General features: G+C 53.2%; 1 protein-coding gene across 7 annotated transcripts in view; it reads left to right on the top strand.

Moving 5' to 3' along the window:
* Window positions 1-18,367, top strand: part of UNC13A (unc-13 homolog A) — an 87,019-nt gene that overhangs the window by 55,991 nt on the left and 12,661 nt on the right. For 2 of the 7 annotated variants that reach the window (XM_011527810.3, NM_001080421.3), the window contains 13 exons: window positions 1,614-1,710; window positions 2,076-2,219; window positions 3,041-3,124; window positions 4,424-4,501; window positions 4,767-4,855; window positions 5,579-5,731; window positions 7,412-7,535; window positions 8,817-8,822; window positions 10,494-10,532; window positions 11,642-11,671; window positions 13,402-13,458; window positions 13,863-13,943; window positions 14,515-14,662. In XM_011527810.3, the coding sequence (XP_011526112.1) occupies window positions 1,614-1,710; window positions 2,076-2,219; window positions 3,041-3,124; window positions 4,424-4,501; window positions 4,767-4,855; window positions 5,579-5,731; window positions 7,412-7,535; window positions 8,817-8,822; window positions 10,494-10,532; window positions 11,642-11,671; window positions 13,402-13,458; window positions 13,863-13,943; window positions 14,515-14,662 (1,130 nt within the window). The remainder of the gene's footprint in view (window positions 1-1,613; window positions 1,711-2,075; window positions 2,220-3,040; window positions 3,125-4,423; window positions 4,502-4,766; window positions 4,856-5,578; window positions 5,732-7,411; window positions 7,536-8,816; window positions 8,823-10,493; window positions 10,533-11,641; window positions 11,672-13,401; window positions 13,459-13,862; window positions 13,944-14,514; window positions 14,663-18,367) is intronic. The other 5 variants (XM_017026502.2, NM_001387022.1, NM_001387021.1 and 2 more) reach the window with 5 other exon arrangements.

The raw sequence follows: 18,367 nt of genomic DNA, 5'->3' as shown, positions 1-18,367 counted from the left end.
TCTCTAAAATTAATGAATGGGTCAGGCACAGTGGCTTGTGCCTGTAATCCCAGGACTTTGGGAGGCCGAAGTGGGCAGATCACCTGAGGTCAGGAGTTCGAGACCAGCATAGCCAATAGGGCGAAACCCCAGCTCTACAAAAATACAAAAATTGGCCGGGCGCAGTGGCTCATGCCTGTAATCTCAGCACTTTGGGAGGCCAAGGTGGGTGGATCACCAGAGGTCAGGAGTTTGAGACCGGCCTGGCCAACATGGTGAGACCCTGTCTCTACTAAAAATACAAAAATTAGCCAGGTGTGGTGGCAGATGCCTGTAATCCCAGCTACTTGGGAGGCTGAGGCATGAGAATTGCTTGAACCCAGGAGGCGGAGGTTGCAGTGAGCCGAGATTGCACCACTGGATTCCAGCTGGGGCAACAAAGTGAGACTCCGTCTCAAAAACAAAGAAAAAAATTATCCGGGTGTGATGGCACACACCTGTAGTCCCAGCTACTCGGGAGGCCGAAGCAGGAGGATCGCTTGAACTCAGGAGGCAGAGGTTGCAGTAAGCGGAAATCGTGTCACTGCACTCCAGCCTGGGCGACAGAGTGAGACTCCATTTCAAAAAATAAATAAATATAAAAATAAAATGAATGAGTGAATAAATGCCACATTCCTTGCCCACGGTGACTCCCAGTACATGACAGACCCGAGATTTGAACTCGGGACATCTGATTCCTGGGCTGTGTGTTGGAGGATAGTACGGTGCCGCCGGTTCCTGAGAATTGTGGTGTCGTTCTCTGCTCCCAGCAGCACAGGAGGATGGCTAGTCTTCTGTTGTACAAGAAACGAAAGCTCTGGCTGGATGCGGTGGCTCATTCCTGTAATCCCAACATTTTGGGAGGCCAAGGTGGGAGGATCACTTGAGGCCAGGAGTTCAAGGCCTGCCTGGGCAACACAGGGAAATCCTGTCTCTACAAAGAAGACAAAAAAAAAAATTAGCCGGGCATGGTGGCATGTGCCTGTAGTGCCAGCTATTCGGGAAGCTGAGGTGGGAGGATTGCTTGAACCCAGCAGGTCAAGGCTGCAGTGAGCTGTGATCGCACCACTGCACTTTAGCCTGGGCAACAGAACAAGACCCAGGAAGGAAGGAAGGAAGGAAGAAGGAAGGAAGGAAGGAAGGGAGGGAGGGAGGGAAGGAAGGAAAGGAGGGAGGGAGGGAGGGAGGGAGAAAACAAGAGCTCAGAGAATAAACCCACTTGCCATGGGCAGTTTATCTGAAGAAGGAAGGAAGGAAGGAAGGAAGGAAGGAGGGAGGGAGGGAGGGAAGGATGGACGGAGGACTCAGAGAGGACTCAGAGAATAAACCCACTTGCCATGGGCAGCTTATCTGAACTAGGATTCCCACAGGCCTGGGCCCTGTTGTAAAAGGGGCCACTCAATCTATTTCATGAGCAAAGTAACTGAGGTTCAGTGCAGGAGGCGAGCAGAGGAGCAGCCACTCAAGGCTGCAGGGAGAGCTCCAGGCAGAGCAGGAGCAGCCATAGCTCCACTCGTTAGTGGGTCAGAACCAGGCGGCGCAGAGGTTGAGGAGGACAAGAGGTGGCAGAGCCCCACCCCGGCTCTTCATTCCAGATGGTTTGAACCCTTCGTCATCCAGTGGCTGGATGAGAATGAGGAGGTGTCCCGGGATTTCCTGCACGGTGCCCTGGAGCGAGACAAGAAGGATGGGGTAAGAAGGCCCACCCACAACCAAGTTCCTAATCTTCCCACTGGGGTCAATTTAGGTGGAAATTTGCCCTTGAGATGAGGCCAGTCTCTGGTAGGTGTCCGCCATCTTTGTCTTGCTCATGGTTTTTAAAATCTTTTGTTCATTCATCAACTACAAAATGTGAGTTCCATCAAGCCGGACACCTCCAGGCACCCCATGGCTTCTGCGTCCACCTCTAGAGTTGACTCTAAGTCTACCTCGCCCTCTGTCCATCTCACCCCGGGGAAATTGGTCTCTGGCTCTCCCCGTGGAGAGTGGGAGAGTTGGGCTCTAGGGATTCTCTGGTGCTGATCTCCTCCTTCCTCTTGGCCTCCTTCCCCCTGCAGTTCCAGCAGACCTCAGAGCATGCCCTATTCTCCTGCTCCGTGGTGGATGTTTTCTCCCAACTCAACCAGAGCTTTGAAATCATCAAGAAACTCGAGTGTCCCGACCCTCAGATCGTGGGGCACTACATGAGGCGCTTTGCCAAGGTGTGGGAGAGTGGGTAGGGTTGGGGCTAGGGGACAGGGTCAGGGTTAGGGAATTGAAGTCTGAGTTGGAGATGGGCTAAGGTTGAGGTTGAGGTTGGAGTTGGTGATGTCATTGAGGTTGGGATTGAAGTTGGAGTTTGGGTTGAGGTTGGAGTTGAAGTTTGGGTTGAGGTTGAGGTTGAGATGAGGTTGGAGTTGAGGTTTGAATGGAGGTTGGAGTTGGGGTTAGGGTTTAAATTGAGATTGGAGTTGAGATTGGGGTTGGAGTTGAGGTGTAGGGTAAGGTTGGAGTTGAGGTGTGGGTTGAGATCAGGGTTGGAATTGAGGTCATTAGTGCGAGTTGGCAATGCTGTTTGGTTGGAGTTTGAGGCTGTGCTGGGTCTTGATTTGGAATTGAGATTGGAGTGAGTGCTGAGATTGATGCACAATTTGAGTGAGTCTTGGGGTGAGTTTGAGGGTTGGGATCATTGGGGTTGAGGTTTGATTCATTGGCATTAGGCTGTGTTGACCTTGGGAATTACAAGTAGGAATTGGCTTTTGATTTGAGATCAGGTCATCTTGTGGTTGAGGCTGGGTTAATATGATGCTTGGTTGCTCTGAAAAAGAGCTGGGTCTACATAAAATGATCATCTTCATCGAGCGGTATCTCCTCTAGGTCTTGATGGTCATCTTGAGTGGAGAATTTGCCTAGCCCAAAGGCCCATCTTAGGTCCTAATAGGGTTTGGGTTCATCACTGATCTCACTAGTGGCCTTGATGGGACGACTGGCGCCTGCCTTGGTGCCAGCCTCTCCTCTCACCCACACTCTGTGTCTTCCCCAGACCATCAGTAATGTGCTCCTCCAGTATGCAGACATCATCTCCAAGGACTTTGCCTCCTACTGCTCCAAGGAGAAGGAGAAAGTGGTGACCTGAGGGGGCCCCTGACCTATCTCCCTCCTCAGCCCCATTCAGCATCCCCAGGACTCCCTTCTCCCCAGGGCCCTGACACCTGGGGCTATGTATGTCCACCTGTGTGTGATCTGACTGGATTGTCTGTGTGTTTAGAGGTGCTTGTTTGAATGTGTGTGATCAGAGTGTATCTAGTTGTGTGTGTCTGAGTGTATGGGAAGTAAGTGCATGTGTCTGACTGTGTATTGTCTGTGTTGACTGGTATACTCTGCGTGTGTGTGTGTGTGTGAGTCTGTGCACATCTGAGTGTGCGTGTCTGATCATGTTTTGTCTGGCTTTGTTAACAGGGTATGGCATGAATGTGTGTGTGAGTCCAACTGTGCACGTCTGAGTGTGCGTGTGTGATTGTGTTTCGTCTGGTTGTGTTAACTGGGTATAACATGAGTGTGTGTATCTGTGTGATTGTGTTTCGTCTGGCTGTGTTAACTGGGTATAACATGAATGTGTGTATCTGTGTGTGTCTGTACATATCTGAGTGTGGGTATCTAGCCATGTTTCATCTGTGTTAACCGGGTATAGTGTGAGTGTATGTATGTGTGAGTATGTGTGTTCAACTATACAACACATCTAGGTGTGTGTCTCATATTTTATCTAGCTGTGTTAACTGGTTATAGTGTGAGTGTGTGTATGCTTGTGTGTGTGTCCAGCTGTGCATGTCTGGGTGTGTGTGACCGTGTTTTGTCTGGCTGAGTTAACTGCATATAGTGTGAGTGTGTGTGTGTGTTTGTGCACGTCTGGGTGGGTGTGTCTCACCAGGTTTGGTATGGCGGTGTTGAATGTGCGTGGTGTGAGTGTGTGTCTATGGCTGTGTCTGGCTGTGCATGTCTGAGTGTGTGTATCTGTGGGGGGGGTCTCGTGTGTATATCTCGGGGTGAGGGCACACGCCTTCAGTGTGTCACTGTCTGGCTGTTGCAAATGAAGCCTTCAGGGTGTGAGCTGCAAAGCTTTGGGCTCTTGCAGGAAACTCTGCTACTCCCAGAGTTCCCAGCCCCTCTCATGGACCCCCCACCAGGCCTGGGGTCGTGGGATTACTTGAGTCCTCCTTGCCCCCACCAGTCCCCAGAGATGCCCGCCCCAACAACACGCCCAGGAACCTGAGCACAAAAGCTCCCTTCCATTTGCAGGTGACCCCATGGGACCCCAGCTTCCTCCAGACCCAGACCCTGAAACCATCCCAAGGTCCCTGGCGGTGGGTAGGGGAGGCTCTGGGGAGAGGTCCTGAGGCTTGACTCCCCTCTCTGTTCCCACCCACAGCCCTGCATTCTCATGAATAACACTCAACAGCTACGAGTTCAGCTGGAGAAGATGTTCGAAGCCATGGGAGGAAAGGAGGTGAGGCAGGGCCGAGGCAGGGCTGGAGAAGGGATGGGGCACCCCCACCACTGTGTCCCTGCAGGCCCCTGAGCTCATATGCCACCAGGCCTGGGGATGAATTCCAGCTCAACCATGGCCTTAAACCCAGGCTTGCAGCATAACGGTCTGTGCCTCAGTTTCCCCTGCAGCCCCTTGGGATCCCTTTCCCTGGGTCAGATGAGAAAATGCCCAGTACATGTGGATACTTACTGAACCTGGCCTGGTGTCCCTTCTCCCTCCTTAGCTGGATGCTGAAGCCAGTGACATCCTGAAGGAGCTTCAGGTGAAACTCAATAACGTCTTGGATGAGCTCAGCCGGGTGTTTGCTACCAGGTGGGAGCATCTCCAGGGCTGGGGGCAGTGGGGAGGGAACAGCCTTCAGCCCTCTAAGCCTGGGGCATCTGGAGGCTCAGCAGATGTAGAGGTGAAGATTGCAGGCTCAGAGTTAGACAAGGCTGAGTTCAAATCTTGGCTTTACTGCTTACTAGCTGTGTGGCCTTGGGTGAGTCACTTAACTTCTCTGAGCCTTATTTTTTTTTTTATTGCTCTGTAAATTTGGGGTGATGACAATAATAGTACCTGGGTAGGATTTTGAGAATGAAATGAACAATGCGGGCAAATGTCTTATCCCTTTGCCTGGTTCTGCAGTTACTATTTTCCACTCTTTTTTTTTTTTTGAGACGAAGTCTCGTTCTGTCACCAGGCTGGAGTGCAGTGGCGCGATCTCGGCTCACTGCACCCTCCACTTCCTGGGTTCAAGTAGCTGGGACTACAGGTGCATGCCACCACACCCAGCTAATTTTTGTATTTTTAGTAGAGACAGGGTTTCACCATGTTGGCCAGGGTGGTCTCGATCTCTTGACCTCGTGATCCGCCCGCCTTGGCCTCCCAAAGTGCTTGGATTAAAGGCGTGAGCCACCGCATCTGGCCTGTTCTCCATTCTTGCTCGGTTATGTGCTGTGATGCAAATGATATGACCTCAAGGACCACAGATCAGCATCTGTGTCCTCATCCAGCCCTTCCTGTGGTCTGAGCCCTTCCCTTCTGTGTCCCCAGCTTCCAGCCGCACATTGAAGAGTGTGTCAAACAGATGGGTGACATCCTTAGCCAGGTTAAGGGCACAGGCAATGTGCCAGCCAGTGCCTGCAGCAGCGTGGCCCAGGACGCGGACAATGTGTTGCAGCCCATCATGGACCTGCTGGACAGCAAGTGAGCTGGGCCAGGTGGACTGGGCTGGCCGGGGAGGGGCTGGGGCAGGGCCATAGAGACCCAGGGACTGGCTGGAGAGGGTGTGCAGGGAATGTTTGCTGGGTGGTCACTGGATAGTTGGATGGCTGAGTAGATGGTGGCATGAAGGGGATGGAAAGTTGGGTGGGTAAATAATTGGAAGGATTGGTGAGTAAATATTTGTGTGGATGAATGAATGGTGGATGAATAGGTGACATGAGGGATGGGTAGGTGGGTGGACGCATGGATTAAAAGATAAATGTTTAGAAGGATAGAGGGAGGATAGATGTTTTAAAAAGATGGATGGGTGGATAGTTGGGTAAATATTTGGATGGATTAATAAATGTTTTGATGCATAGATGGATTGATGCTTAGATGGATGGATGTCTGGCAGGCTGGCTTGATGGATGGTTGGATGGACGATGGATGGATGGATGGATGGATGGATGGATGGATGGATGGATAAATGGTTGGATATGTGGATAAATATTTGGATGGATGAATAAATGTTTTGATGCATAAATGGATGGACAGATGGGTGGATGGATGAATAAATGGATGGGTGGGTAGATGGATGGATAGATAGGTGGATAAATATTTGGATGAATGAATAAATGTTTTGATGTATAGATGGATTGATGCATAGATGTCTGTCTGGCTGGCTGGATGGATGGATGGATGAATGGATGGATGGATAGGTCAATAGATATTTAGATCATTGAATAAATGTTTTAATGCATAAATGGATGGACAGATGGGTGGATGGATGAATGGATGGTTGGATGGGTGGGTGGGTAGATGGATGGATGCTGGATAGATATAGGTGGATAAATATTTGGATGGATAAATAAATGTTTTGATGCATAAATGGTTGGACAGATGGGGGGGTGGGTGGATGAGTGGGTCGATGGATGGATGGATTAATAGGTGAGAAATATTTGGATGGATGAATAAATGTTTTGATGCATAGATGGATGGACAGATGGATGAATGGACAGGTGGATGGATAGATAAATGGATAAGTGGATGGATGGGTAGAAGGATGCATGGAAGGATGGATGGATGAACAGATGGATGGATGGATGGATAGAAAAAGAAATAGAGAATTAAGGACCACTGGGGGAGGGATGGATTGGTGGGTGACTGGATCAGTTGGTGGATGGATCTTGGTGGACTGCCTGTCTCCTTCAACCCCTATCCATCCAACCACAATCTCTTTGCTGTTTTCCCTTTCAAGTCTGCCCTCCTCTGACCATTCCCCTCCTGTTCCTCTTGGGCATGGCCTTCTCCCTCATAGTCCCTGATCTCCATCCTTCCTGTTTCGGTTCATCCCCCACACTGTTCTTTCAAACATGAAAGTCTGGCTGTGTCTCCCTCTTGAACACTCCATGGCTCCCCACTACCCCCATCCTGATAAAACCCAAGCCTTCCTCCCAGACATTGGGGCCCCTTCCCATCTGGTCCCTGCTGACTAGTCCAACCACCACTCACTCTTCTCTTCATGCATCAGATATCATAGCCCCATCAAACCACCCAGGGGTCCCTGTACAGGCTGTGGGCCCTCTTTCCTATCTGTGGAATGCCTTGCCCACCTGTTAAGGGAAGGTGATCTGTGGGTGGGGGCGAGCTGGGCCCTCTCTCAGACCTGCCCCTCGTCCCCAGCCTGACCCTCTTTGCCAAAATCTGTGAGAAGACTGTGCTGAAGCGAGTGCTGAAGGAGCTGTGGAAGCTGGTTATGAACACCATGGAGAAAACCATCGTCCTGCCGCCCCTCACTGACCAGACGGTGAGACCTGCAGGGGGCCCGAGGGGACATTTAGGCCACCTCCCTGGCGAGAGCCCAGAAAACTTGGTGCCTAGAGGCTGGGGGGTAAGAACAAAGGCATCCGGTCTCAGAGAGGTCATCCAGGCTCAAGGGCCATTCAAGGGTCATGGAAGCCACCAGAGGTCAGTGGGGGGCCATTCAGAGGTCAGAGAGTTCACACAGGGGTTAAAGATCATCGAAGAGTTAAAGAGGTCATTCAGAGTCCATTGTATTTTCTCTGGGGTCAAAGACATCAGGTAGAGTCAAGAGACCACTAAAGTCATAGAGGTCACATGTAGGTCAAAATAGCTTTCAAAGGTCAGAGGTCATCTAGAAAACAGGTCAATTTTGGGATCAAGGTTATCCTTGAGCCACGGAAGGCATAGACATTGGCCAGGCACCGTGGCTCACGCCTGCAATCCCAGCACTTTGGGAGGCTCGAGGCGGGCAGATTGCTTGAGGTCAGGAGTTCGAGACCAGCCTGGGCAACATGGTGAAATCTCGTCTCTACTAAAAATACAAAAATTAGCTGGGTGTGATCCTGTGATCCTGGCTTCTTGGGAAACTGAGGCACGAAAACTGTTTGAACCTAAGAGGTAGAGGCTGCAGTGAGCTGAGATGGCGCCACTGCACACTCCAGCCTGGGCAACAGAACGAGACCCTTTCTCAAAAAAACAAAAAAAAAAAAGAGAAGGCATAGACATCAATGGGTTTTTCTAAGGGCTTTGGGGCTCATTCAAAAGCCAAAGAGGGGAGACACCATGGACTTCAGACATCAGAGATCAATAGACCAAGGGGCTCCTGGAAGTCAGCCAGAGGTCATGGAGGGCATCCAAGGTCAGAGAGGTCAAGCAGAGATCATTGGCCATCCAGAGACCAGGACCGATAGACCAGAGGCCATAATCTCTAGGGACCAAGGGGACCCAAACATCTGTAGAGGGATGTAGCTGGGCGTGGGTCCCTCCGGGAGGCATCAAGAACCTGAGGACAGCAATGGCATGTGGGCTGTGGGCACATTAGGGAGTGGGGAGGTCTTTCCCAGGTGGACCACGGAGGCTTGGGGAGGGTGAGCGGGGGCCATAGATGGGCGACGATGGTCGGGGAGGCTCGGACTTCCCATCCTTCCACCTCTTCTGGGCTGGGCTGGGGCAGGGGTCTTGCCCCTCCGTGCTGCCATCTCTGCCCCCTCCCTGGCCTTCCCGGGAGACTCATGGTACCTTATTCCCCCCTCCCCCACCGCCCCGCCCCCATCACGGATGACAGATGATCGTAAGTAGAGTCCCGTCTGTCCGTCTGTCTGTCCGTCCTCTCTGTGTCTGGACTCGGCCCACCGCGTCGCTGCACCCCTCTCCCCACCCACCCAGCGCCCCCTCCTCACCCACCATCCTCCCTCCCGCCTAGATGTGCCTGTGTCTGTCTGGGGCGGGGCATGGGGAGGGGGCGGGGCTGGGAGGGAGGGAGACCACGCCCACCCTCCCTGTCCCACTGAAGTCCAGAGGAGCCCCACTACCCACTCCCAAACCCCAAGCCCAGCTCCTCCTTCGCAGCGGACCTGCCGTCTAAGGGTAGAATCCAACCTTGCTCCCGTGCCCAGATGTCACCAGACGCCCTGAAGCTAGAAAGAGGATCAACCCCAGGATTCCTCTGACCTCCTCTTTGGGCTCTGAACTGTCAGCAGCTTCCCAGAATGCAGGTCCTCACCATGAGGGTCTCTACTTCTGATTCCTCTGAAATTCCATGCTCCAGACCATTCCTTGGTACCCCACCACCCTGTCTACCCAACTCCCGCCATCCACACCGACACACACCAATCCCAGACATACACCCAGGTGCCCAAGTGGGAGACTTTTGTCATGGCTTTGATGTCAGGTAGACTTGGGGTCAAATCCTAGCCCAGCCACTGTCTCTCTCTGTGACCTTGGGAAGTCACTTGACCTCCCAGCCTCTGTTTCCTTGTCTGGAAAATGGGGCTCATTGCATCACCTCCCTGAGGGTAGTTCTAAGAACCAAATGGCATGATGCATTAAAATACTCATCTCAGTATTGCCTGAACCCAGGAAGCAGAGGTTGCAGTGAGCCGAGATCGCGCCACTGCACTCTCAGTGACCGGCCCAGAGGCAGAGCTAATGGTGGTGGTGGTGGTGGTGGTGGTGGTGGTGATATGCAGACATGTGTAAGAGCAGAGACAAAACAACTTCAGATTTTCCCTTTGTGGGCAAGACAAGGCTGTTACAAGATTTCACTTTGTTAAAAGTTTACAAGGGCTCTTACTTCCTGGTAGCTGCAGCCTGGGTCTTTGGCTATAACCACTTGGTGGCAGCATACCCAACCACAGGCAATGCATTTGTAGGCAGGGGGAATAAAGGAATTCGCATTTAATGACTCCCCATATGCCAGGCCTTCTCATAGCTCCTGTTTCAGCTCACCTTCATGATAACCCTTTGAGTGAGGTGGATATTATTATCCCCATTTTGCAGATGAGGAAAGCTGAGGCTCAGAGAGGAGTCACTTGTTCAAGGTCATATAGTAAATATATGCCAGAATCAGGATTCAAATTCAGATCTGTCTGAATATGCAGCCCATTTGCTTTCCTGTTAACCCAAGAACCAAGAGTCTCATGTGTACAGTAAATGTAAATGGATTATATTTTGGCAGTGGCTTTTTTCCCTTCTTTCTGACTTTCTTTAGCTCTGTATCTGTATCTTTCTCTCTCTTTCCTGTCTCTGCCTCTCACACCATTTAAGAGTGAGTCACTAAAGCGCATGCACGTGTGTGCACACACACAGACACACACACAAACACACTATCCCCATGCAACCCAGTCACCAGTACCCTGTGCAGTGTGGATTCCCCCATCCCCATGAATATTCCTGTGAGCATCCCAGCTTCCCACCCTGCACGACTTGCCAGGTTGATCACCCTGTGACATTATCTCTGCAGGGGAACCTCTTGAGAAAACATGGCAAGGGATTAGAAAAGGTAATGAGGGCCTCGTCTCACTGAGGCCCTGAGCTCCAGTGTCTGGGCATGTGTGTGCATGTGTGTGCGTCTGTGCACCTGGGCAGGAAGGGCAGCTGGGGGTCGTGGGTAGGAGATAGCTCTCCTAACCAAGTCCTGCAAAACCAGAAGTCAGAGATGAAGTGATTCTCCAGGGACAGAACGTGCAGTGTGTGTGTCCACATGTGAACTAATGTGTGTGCACAAACAGCTCCCATCCTCCCACAGCAATACCCACAGGGCTCATCTGAGCCCTGGGCTCAGCTGAAATTCTGTGCCTTCTTGAGGAGCCTACACGCTAGATCACCACCCTGGACTGAGACGTGTTGTTTTTTACGTAGATTTCTTTTTGTTGCTGTGCTAATGGGTGTTTGTTGTTAAGGAGATGGGAGCTACAGCAACACGCAAGCAGCTGTCTTGCTGTACACTTGTGCAGAAGATATCGTTGTACATTTGTGTCTACAAATGGAGTCTTAGCTTTGTGAATGTGGGTCACAGGGGTTCCGTACTCTCTCTGCCAGCCCTTTGCGGGGCACATTCAGTGTCCCAGGCACCCTATATGTGGATGTGAATCCGTGTGGGGTCAAGAAGGGTGTGTGGGTTTTTGTGTGTGATATAATTGTGTACGTGCCTGCAAGTGTTTAGGAGTGCACGTATGTAGTTTAGTGTATGGGTTCTTCAGCACTGAGTGAACTTACAGTATATGTTAATATGTTTTTTGTAGACTTGGGTGCTGGGATATAGGGGCAGCCCCTTAGGGAATGGAGGAGGAGACAGATTCCTAGCCCTGTCTCATCTCCCCACCTCCCCAGGTGCCCCATCCTGGGGCAGGCTGACTGTGGGATGAGGCTGCTTCCAGCCTCCTGGGTACCCCGAGAGTGTGCTGGCAGTCAAGGAGTCTGACCTCTAAACCCCTGCTAGGGGACCAGAGGAGGTGCTAGCTGGGGAGGGGGCCCACCATTAGACCCAGGACCTGGGGAGGAGCTCCTGGGCTGGGAAGTGAGACTGTGCTTTGAGGGGGCAGGGAAGTCCCACTGAGTATCCTCCCAACAGTCACCAGAACTCTGACCTCCACCTGATTCTCTCCACAGGGCAGGGTGAAATTGCCAAGCCACTCAGACGTAAGACCGGCCTCTCACTGTCTGTCTGGCTCCCATCCCACTCCCCCCCACCCCACCCCTGTGCCCCCTTCCACCTCTGTGGTTCGTGCCGTCCGAGGGCGTACTGTGAACCTGTCTGTTGGTCTCTTCTTCCTTTGTCTGTCTGGCTTGCTCGTGGGGGGTGGTGGGTGGGGGGTTGGTGGGTAGGGCAGAGGGTACCCAGGAAGGCCCCTGAGCCCTGCCAGACTACAGGTGGGTGCAGCAGGGGAAACTGAGGCCCAGTCCGCTGGACCCCTGAGTAACTGTGCCTTGTAAGAACCTCAGGATCACAGACAAGAAATAAGAATAGTAACAGCCAAGATGATAATAGTAATACCTCTAGGAATGACCAGATGGCCAGCTGGTAGACTATGAACATAATTCCAAATATTTCCACAGTAAATGGGCCCCCTCCCCACCTAGCCTCACCCAGGACCCCCAGACCACCCCAGGACCCAGTAAGACAAGACTTGTTACCTCAATACTCAGCCCCACCCTGTCCCCCAAGTTACCATGGGTATCCCTGTTAGCCACAGTGGGAATTGAGGCTCAGAGCATTCAGGGACAAGCCTGGGGCCATCCAGCAGTGACAGAGGAGGCTAGACACATGCCTTCCAGGCTGGGACCCCGTCTCCCTTAGCATTGCCCGTGACTTTGAGACCAAGTGATAATTAGCGAACACTGAGCAAAGACTTGTTCAGTCCAGACTAAGCCACAAAGTGGATATAATTTTCCTCATCTAGATGGGAAAACTGAGGCTCAGAGAGGTTAAGTGCCTTGCCCAGGGCCACACAGCAGGACTGCAATTTGAACCCAGGCCCATCTGGCTTGTCAGAGCCATCACCACATCACCATCTTGCTAGTGTCTGTTTGGGGGTGGGGTGGAGGACGGATATGGAGGTGTTTGTATAGAGGGAGGATTTTTCCTTTAAAAGGTCAGACTGGCTGGCAATGTGGCTCACGCCTGTAATCCCAGCACTTTGGGAGGCTGAGGTAGGAGGATCGATTGAGCCCAGGAATTCAAGACCAGCCTGGACAACACAACAAGACCCCATCTCTATGAAAAAAATTTCAAAAACTAGCTGGATATGGTGGCTCACACGTGTAGTCCCAGCTACTGGGGAGGCGGGAGGATTGCTTGAGCCCAGGAGTTTGAGGCTGCAATGAGCTATGATCATGCCACTGCACTCCAGCCTGGGCAACAGAGGGAGACTCTGTCTCAAAAAAAAAAAAAAAGAAAAGAAAAATCAGACTGAAATTCCTCCCAGATTACAGGGGAAATTTCCCTGCAGAGGGGATGCTCCTTGAGGAGGAGGAAGTGTTTGACCAGAGCCATTTTCTGCAACCTCAGCCTAGCCTATTGTGTTCCCAAAGCTCCCTTTCCCTGGAAACCCTGCCCACACCCACAAACACCACCGTCTGAGGCTCCCCCAACCCACTGCCCCTCACAGTCTGGTCCCTGTCTGTTTCTCCTGTTACACAAGCCTGGGTGGGGCTGAGAGGGTGGGGGACTATCCTCACAGGACCGGGATTTTCAGGGACAAGGTCACCACATCCTCCTCAGTTCTTCCTGGGGAATTCCAGACCTCTGTCCCTGGGACACAATTATTGCCCTGCCCAGAGCCTTTGGGCAAGAACCAAGATGGTCTCTGGGGCTGGAGTGTCAGCTGTAGCACCCCTGCCCTCACCCAGCTGTATGTTGTTACCTGCAGGGAACCCAGATGATCTTCAATGCAGCCAAGGAGCTGGGTCAGCTGTCCAAACTCAAGGTGAGGAGTGGGGATAGATTATGGCGTGAGGGACTGCCCCCCAAACTCATGTGGCTTCCAGGTTGCCACCATCCTGGGGGAGGGGTCCCAGGATGATGACATGCATTACAGGCTCAAAGGACAGAAACTCTACTCACTGAAGCACAAGATATTTGCTCCCCAGTGTGTCAGAAAGATGTGAATGGTTCAGCTTCAGGTACAGCTTGATCAAGAGGGCAAGTCATTTATTCAACCAATATTTTTTGAGCACCTGCTGTGTACCAGTCACATATTGGGTGCTGGGATGATGAAAACATAGACCCTCAGCCCAGCTCCTCCAAGTTGAACAGGGATGAGACCCATAGACACAGATTCCAAAGGTGGAGCCCACTCCACCCACATGGCCCCTCTCCCCATCCATCCAGGATCACATGGTACGAGAAGAAGCCAAGAGCTTGACCCCAAAGCAGTGCGCGGTTGTTGAGTTGGCCCTGGACACCATCAAGGTGAGAGGCCCTACCCCTCCCCATCCCAGGTGGGGGATGTAGAGGGTGTGGCTGCTGTGGTCATGGACTTAGGCTCGCCTCGGACCCACATTAATTTGTTCAATTTATGGACACTCCCTCGTTCCCCTGTCTGTGCCAGAGCTGGGCTGGCTAATGCTGGAGCCTTAAGGAGCCCCAGGTCGGGGAAGACTGCTGGATACAGACATTCTCAGCCTTGTAGGATTAGGCTTGGGGTAGAGGGAAGGATGTGGGCTGGGGGAGCCCAAAGAGTGAGAAGGTGTAGAGGGAAGGATGTAAAGGACCTCGTGCCAGGCATTTCTTGAGGTGTAGAAGGGTAGAGGGAAGGATGGGGGCTGGGCGAGCCCAAGGTGGGAGAAGCCAGGCCTTCCTGGAAGACGGCATGTGAGAGGTGGGTTCTGAGGAATGCATAGGAGTTCACTAGGCAAAGCAAAGGAAGAGGTGAGAAAGTAGTAGCGGGAAGAATTGGGAGTGGGGACAGCAGGGCTACCCAGCCCTATGAGTGGGTAGAGGTTCCCACCATCCTCACCTCTCCCCACCCTGTCCTCCCCAGCAATATTTCCACGCGGGTGGCGTGGGCCTCAAGAAGACCTTCCTGGAGAAGAGCCCGGACCTGCAATCCTTGCGCTATGCCCTGTCGCTCTACACGCAGGCCACCGACCTGCTAATCAAGACCTTTGTACAGACGCAATCGGCCCAGGGTAAGGGTACCCAGACCGCATCACCCTTTCCCGCTCCGCGGAGACAGCCCCGCCCCAAGCCTGAACGGCTGCCATTGGCTCACTCCCCTGTGACGTCATGGATGGGGCGGAATTGACATCTCTGCACCAAGTCCAGGGACCAATGAGCGATCAAAGGTTCATGGGGGCGGGGCCTCTGACGTCACAGGCCTGGAGGTGATCGTCAACCCCTGGGAAAATCTGTGATGTCCTGGGGCCAGACAATGATTAACAGCTCTGGGATGGAATGTCTTTGACATCAAGGACCAGGGTAGGATTGATGACTCTTAGGTGTGGAACCTGTGACGTCGTAGGGCCACAAGGTGATTGTCATCTCCTGGGAAAATCAATGGTGTCCCAGGGCCAATGAATGATTGTCAGCTCCTGAGGGACCTGGACAGTCATGGGTCCAGGGAATCGTTGACAGCTCTGGGAGACTTCAGGAGTGATTGACAGCTCAGGATGGGCAGGACCTCTGATGTCAAGGGGTCAAGGAATGATTGGCAGGTCCATGGGTGGGAACTTTGACGTCATGGTCCCAGAGAGTGGTTGAACTCCCCTGAGGAGGGACCTCTGTGATGTCATGGGGCTAAGGAATGATTGACAGCTCCGAGGGCGGGAGGGACCTCGACTTGGTGGGGGAGGGTGGACGGAGAGGGAGTTCCCATTTCTCAAACTCTCTCTTTCTCTCTGTATTTTGCTTCGGTCTCCTGTCCCTCTCTGAGCGCACACACACGGCAGCTGGGGCTGGATGGAGGGCAGGATTCCCTGGGGACCCCCCCTTTTCAAAATTGGTCCCGACAAGGGGAAGAAGTTTGGCGGCTTGAACTCAGGAGGGGGAGGGAGAATCGCCATCGACACCCAGCCTGGGGCGAGGGGAGCAAAGCCCTGTGGCCTCCAACGGCCCCCTTCTCCCCCGATCCAGCCAGCCCAAGGGCCCTCCGTGGGCGCTGGGTCTCTGAGCTCAGCTTCCCTTCCAGTCCTGGCTGCTTTTAGTGTCCCTGGTGTCCCTGGAGCAGGAGGCTGTCTGTCTCTCCGTCTGTCTGCAGCTGACGTTTCTCTCTCTCTTGTTTTTCCTCCCTCTCACTCGCCGTCCCCTCTCCGCGCCTCCCCTGCCCCCTCCACACACACTCCTCCATCCTCACCTCTCACTGGCTCGTCTCTCCCCGCTCCCCATGCTTCCCACCTCTCTCCCCCTTCCACCCCCACCCCCAATTAGTCCATGGTGGAAAAGGTACTAGGTTTACCCTTAGTGAAGACATTTATCCTGAGAAGGGTACGTGCCTCCGCCTCCCGCCCGCCGCCCGCGCCTGGTGCCCGGTGCCTGCGCCCCTCCTGGCCCCGGCTAGTAAAAGGATCGTCCTTCTGCCTCAAGGGCCTGCAGGGCCGCCGCCCAGGCCTGAGCGGCTTGGAGGGCCCAGGCGGGTGAGGGGGAAGGACGATTTGCTGGTTCTACATGGGGAAGAAGCGATTCCAGTGGGAATCCCAGAATCCATTTCTCCTGATATGACATATTTTTTAAGCCAGATCCTGGGACCCCGGGACAGGCACCTGTCAGGTTAAGAGCTGGGCTCTGATTCCAGCCCAGCCACTCCACGGGTAGGCACCTTGGGCAAGAATCTGTCTCCCTGAGCCTCAGTTTTCTCATCTGTAAAATGGGGACAGTCAAGGACCCTACTTCATAGGATTATTGTTATTGATATTATTATTTAGAGACAAGGTCTCCTTCTGTCACCTAGGCTGGAATGCAGTGGTGCAATCACTGCTCACTGCAGCCTCCCTCCTGTGCTCAAGTGATCCTCCTGCCCCAGCCTCCCGAGGAGCTGGGACTACAGGCACACGTCACATGGCTAGCTAATTTTTAATTTTTTTTGTAGAGAGGTGGCCTCACTTTGTTGCCCAGGCTGATCTCAGTGAATACTTATCAGGCTCTAAGGCTGAGCAGGACCTTGTGCCAGGCATTTCTTGAAGAATCTGTGTTTGGTTTTGTTGTTGTTGTTTGAGACAGAGTCTCACTCTGTCACCCAGGCTGGAATGCAGTGGGGAAATCTCAGCTCACTGCAACCTCCGTCCGCCTCCTGGTTTCAAGCGATTCTTGTGCCTCAGCCTCCTGAGTAGCTGGGATTACAGGCCCGCACCACCACGCCTGGCTAATTTTTGTATTTTTAGTAGAGACGGGGTTTTGCCATGTTGGCCAGGCTGGTCTTGAACTCTTGGCCTCAAGTGGTCCACCCATCTTGGCCTCGGCCTTCCAAAGTGCTAGGATGACAGGTGTAATCCCAGCGCCTGGCCATTTTGTTTTTAATTTGAGGCAGACGCTGTCACCCAGGCTGGAGTGCAATGGCGAAATCTCAGGTCACTGCAGCCGCCACCTCCTGGGCTATGTTGCCCAGGCTGGTCTCGAACTCCTGGCCTCAAATGATCCTCCCACCTTGGCCTCCCAAAGTGCTGGGATTACAGGCATGAGCCTCCATGCCTAGCCTTCTTGGGGAAACTGAAACAGATTTCTTTAACTGCCCCACGAGGGGTACATCATTCCACAGATGAGATACTGAGAGCCAAAGGAGATTCAACCACTTGTCCGAGGAACCTTCCCCTGCAGGGGTCCCGGGACTTGGGGAGTGGGGAGTGGGGTTGGAAGAAGCACTGAGAGGCCCAGGAAAGACCCTTCCCCGCGAAGCCAGCAAAGCACGGGATGGGGGCACCCAGCACTGCCTCCCTCCCCCCTTCTTACTAGCTTTGGCCTTGGTCTGACCCCTCACCTGACCCACCACTGTCCAATTCCCCCTGGCACCCCCGGCACCCCAGTCTGGCCCGGATTGAGCTTGCTATGAAGCATCGGCCTGGGGGAGGGCGGGGCGGCTGAGCATGTGACTGGTGGCGGGGGGTGGGGGTGGAATGGGAGCCTGAGGCAACAAGGAAGACGGCCTGGGGCGTGCAGCAAAGACCGGGGCCACATACCCCAGTACTGGGGTGATGGGGGTCTCCAGGCCCCTGTGCTCCCCAACCCTCAGTCACTTCCTGTCCAGCGTGAGGTAACCCAATCAGCGTTTGACTGACCCAACCTCCCACCCTCACCTCTGACTTTCCCCTTCTTCTCCCCGTGCATGGGGTGGTCCAGGAGTGGGGAGTTGCCTGGTGGGGGGTGGGGAGGGGTTGGTGGAGGTGCTGGCGGTCACAGGTCCACAGGCCCCACAGGATGCCCTTTTGAGTCACAGAAGGCGGGACCGGGAGAGATTCTTTTAAGCTGCCCCATCAGTGATCCCCATTGGCACCATGGAGGACACGGCTGGTGGCCCCAAACAGAAGCCCACCACACCATGATTCAAGCAGACAAGGGAACTTTTTGACTCCATAATGGAAAAATTAGGGGTTGAGGCCTGGCGCGGTGGTGCATGCCTGTAATCCCAGCACTTTGGGAGGCCAAGTTGGGCGGATCACTTGAAGTCAGGAGTTTGAGACCAGCCTGGCCAACATGGTGAAACCCCATCTCTACTAAAAATAACAAAAATTAGCCAGGCGTGTTGGTGGATGCCTGTAATCCCAGCTACTCAGGAGGCTGAGGCAGGAGAATCGCTTTAACCTGGGAGGCGGAGGTTGCAGTGAGCCGAGATGGTGCCATTACACTCCAGCCTGGTGACACAGCAAGACTCTATCTCAAAAACAAAAAAGAAGGCCAGGTGCGGT

Source organism: Homo sapiens, chromosome 19 (assembly GCF_000001405.40).
Source record: "Homo sapiens chromosome 19, GRCh38.p14 Primary Assembly".
Classification (NCBI taxonomy): Eukaryota; Metazoa; Chordata; class Mammalia; order Primates; family Hominidae; genus Homo; species Homo sapiens.
Note: the sequence above shows the minus strand (reverse complement) of the source record. Positions and strands in the feature narration are given on the sequence as shown.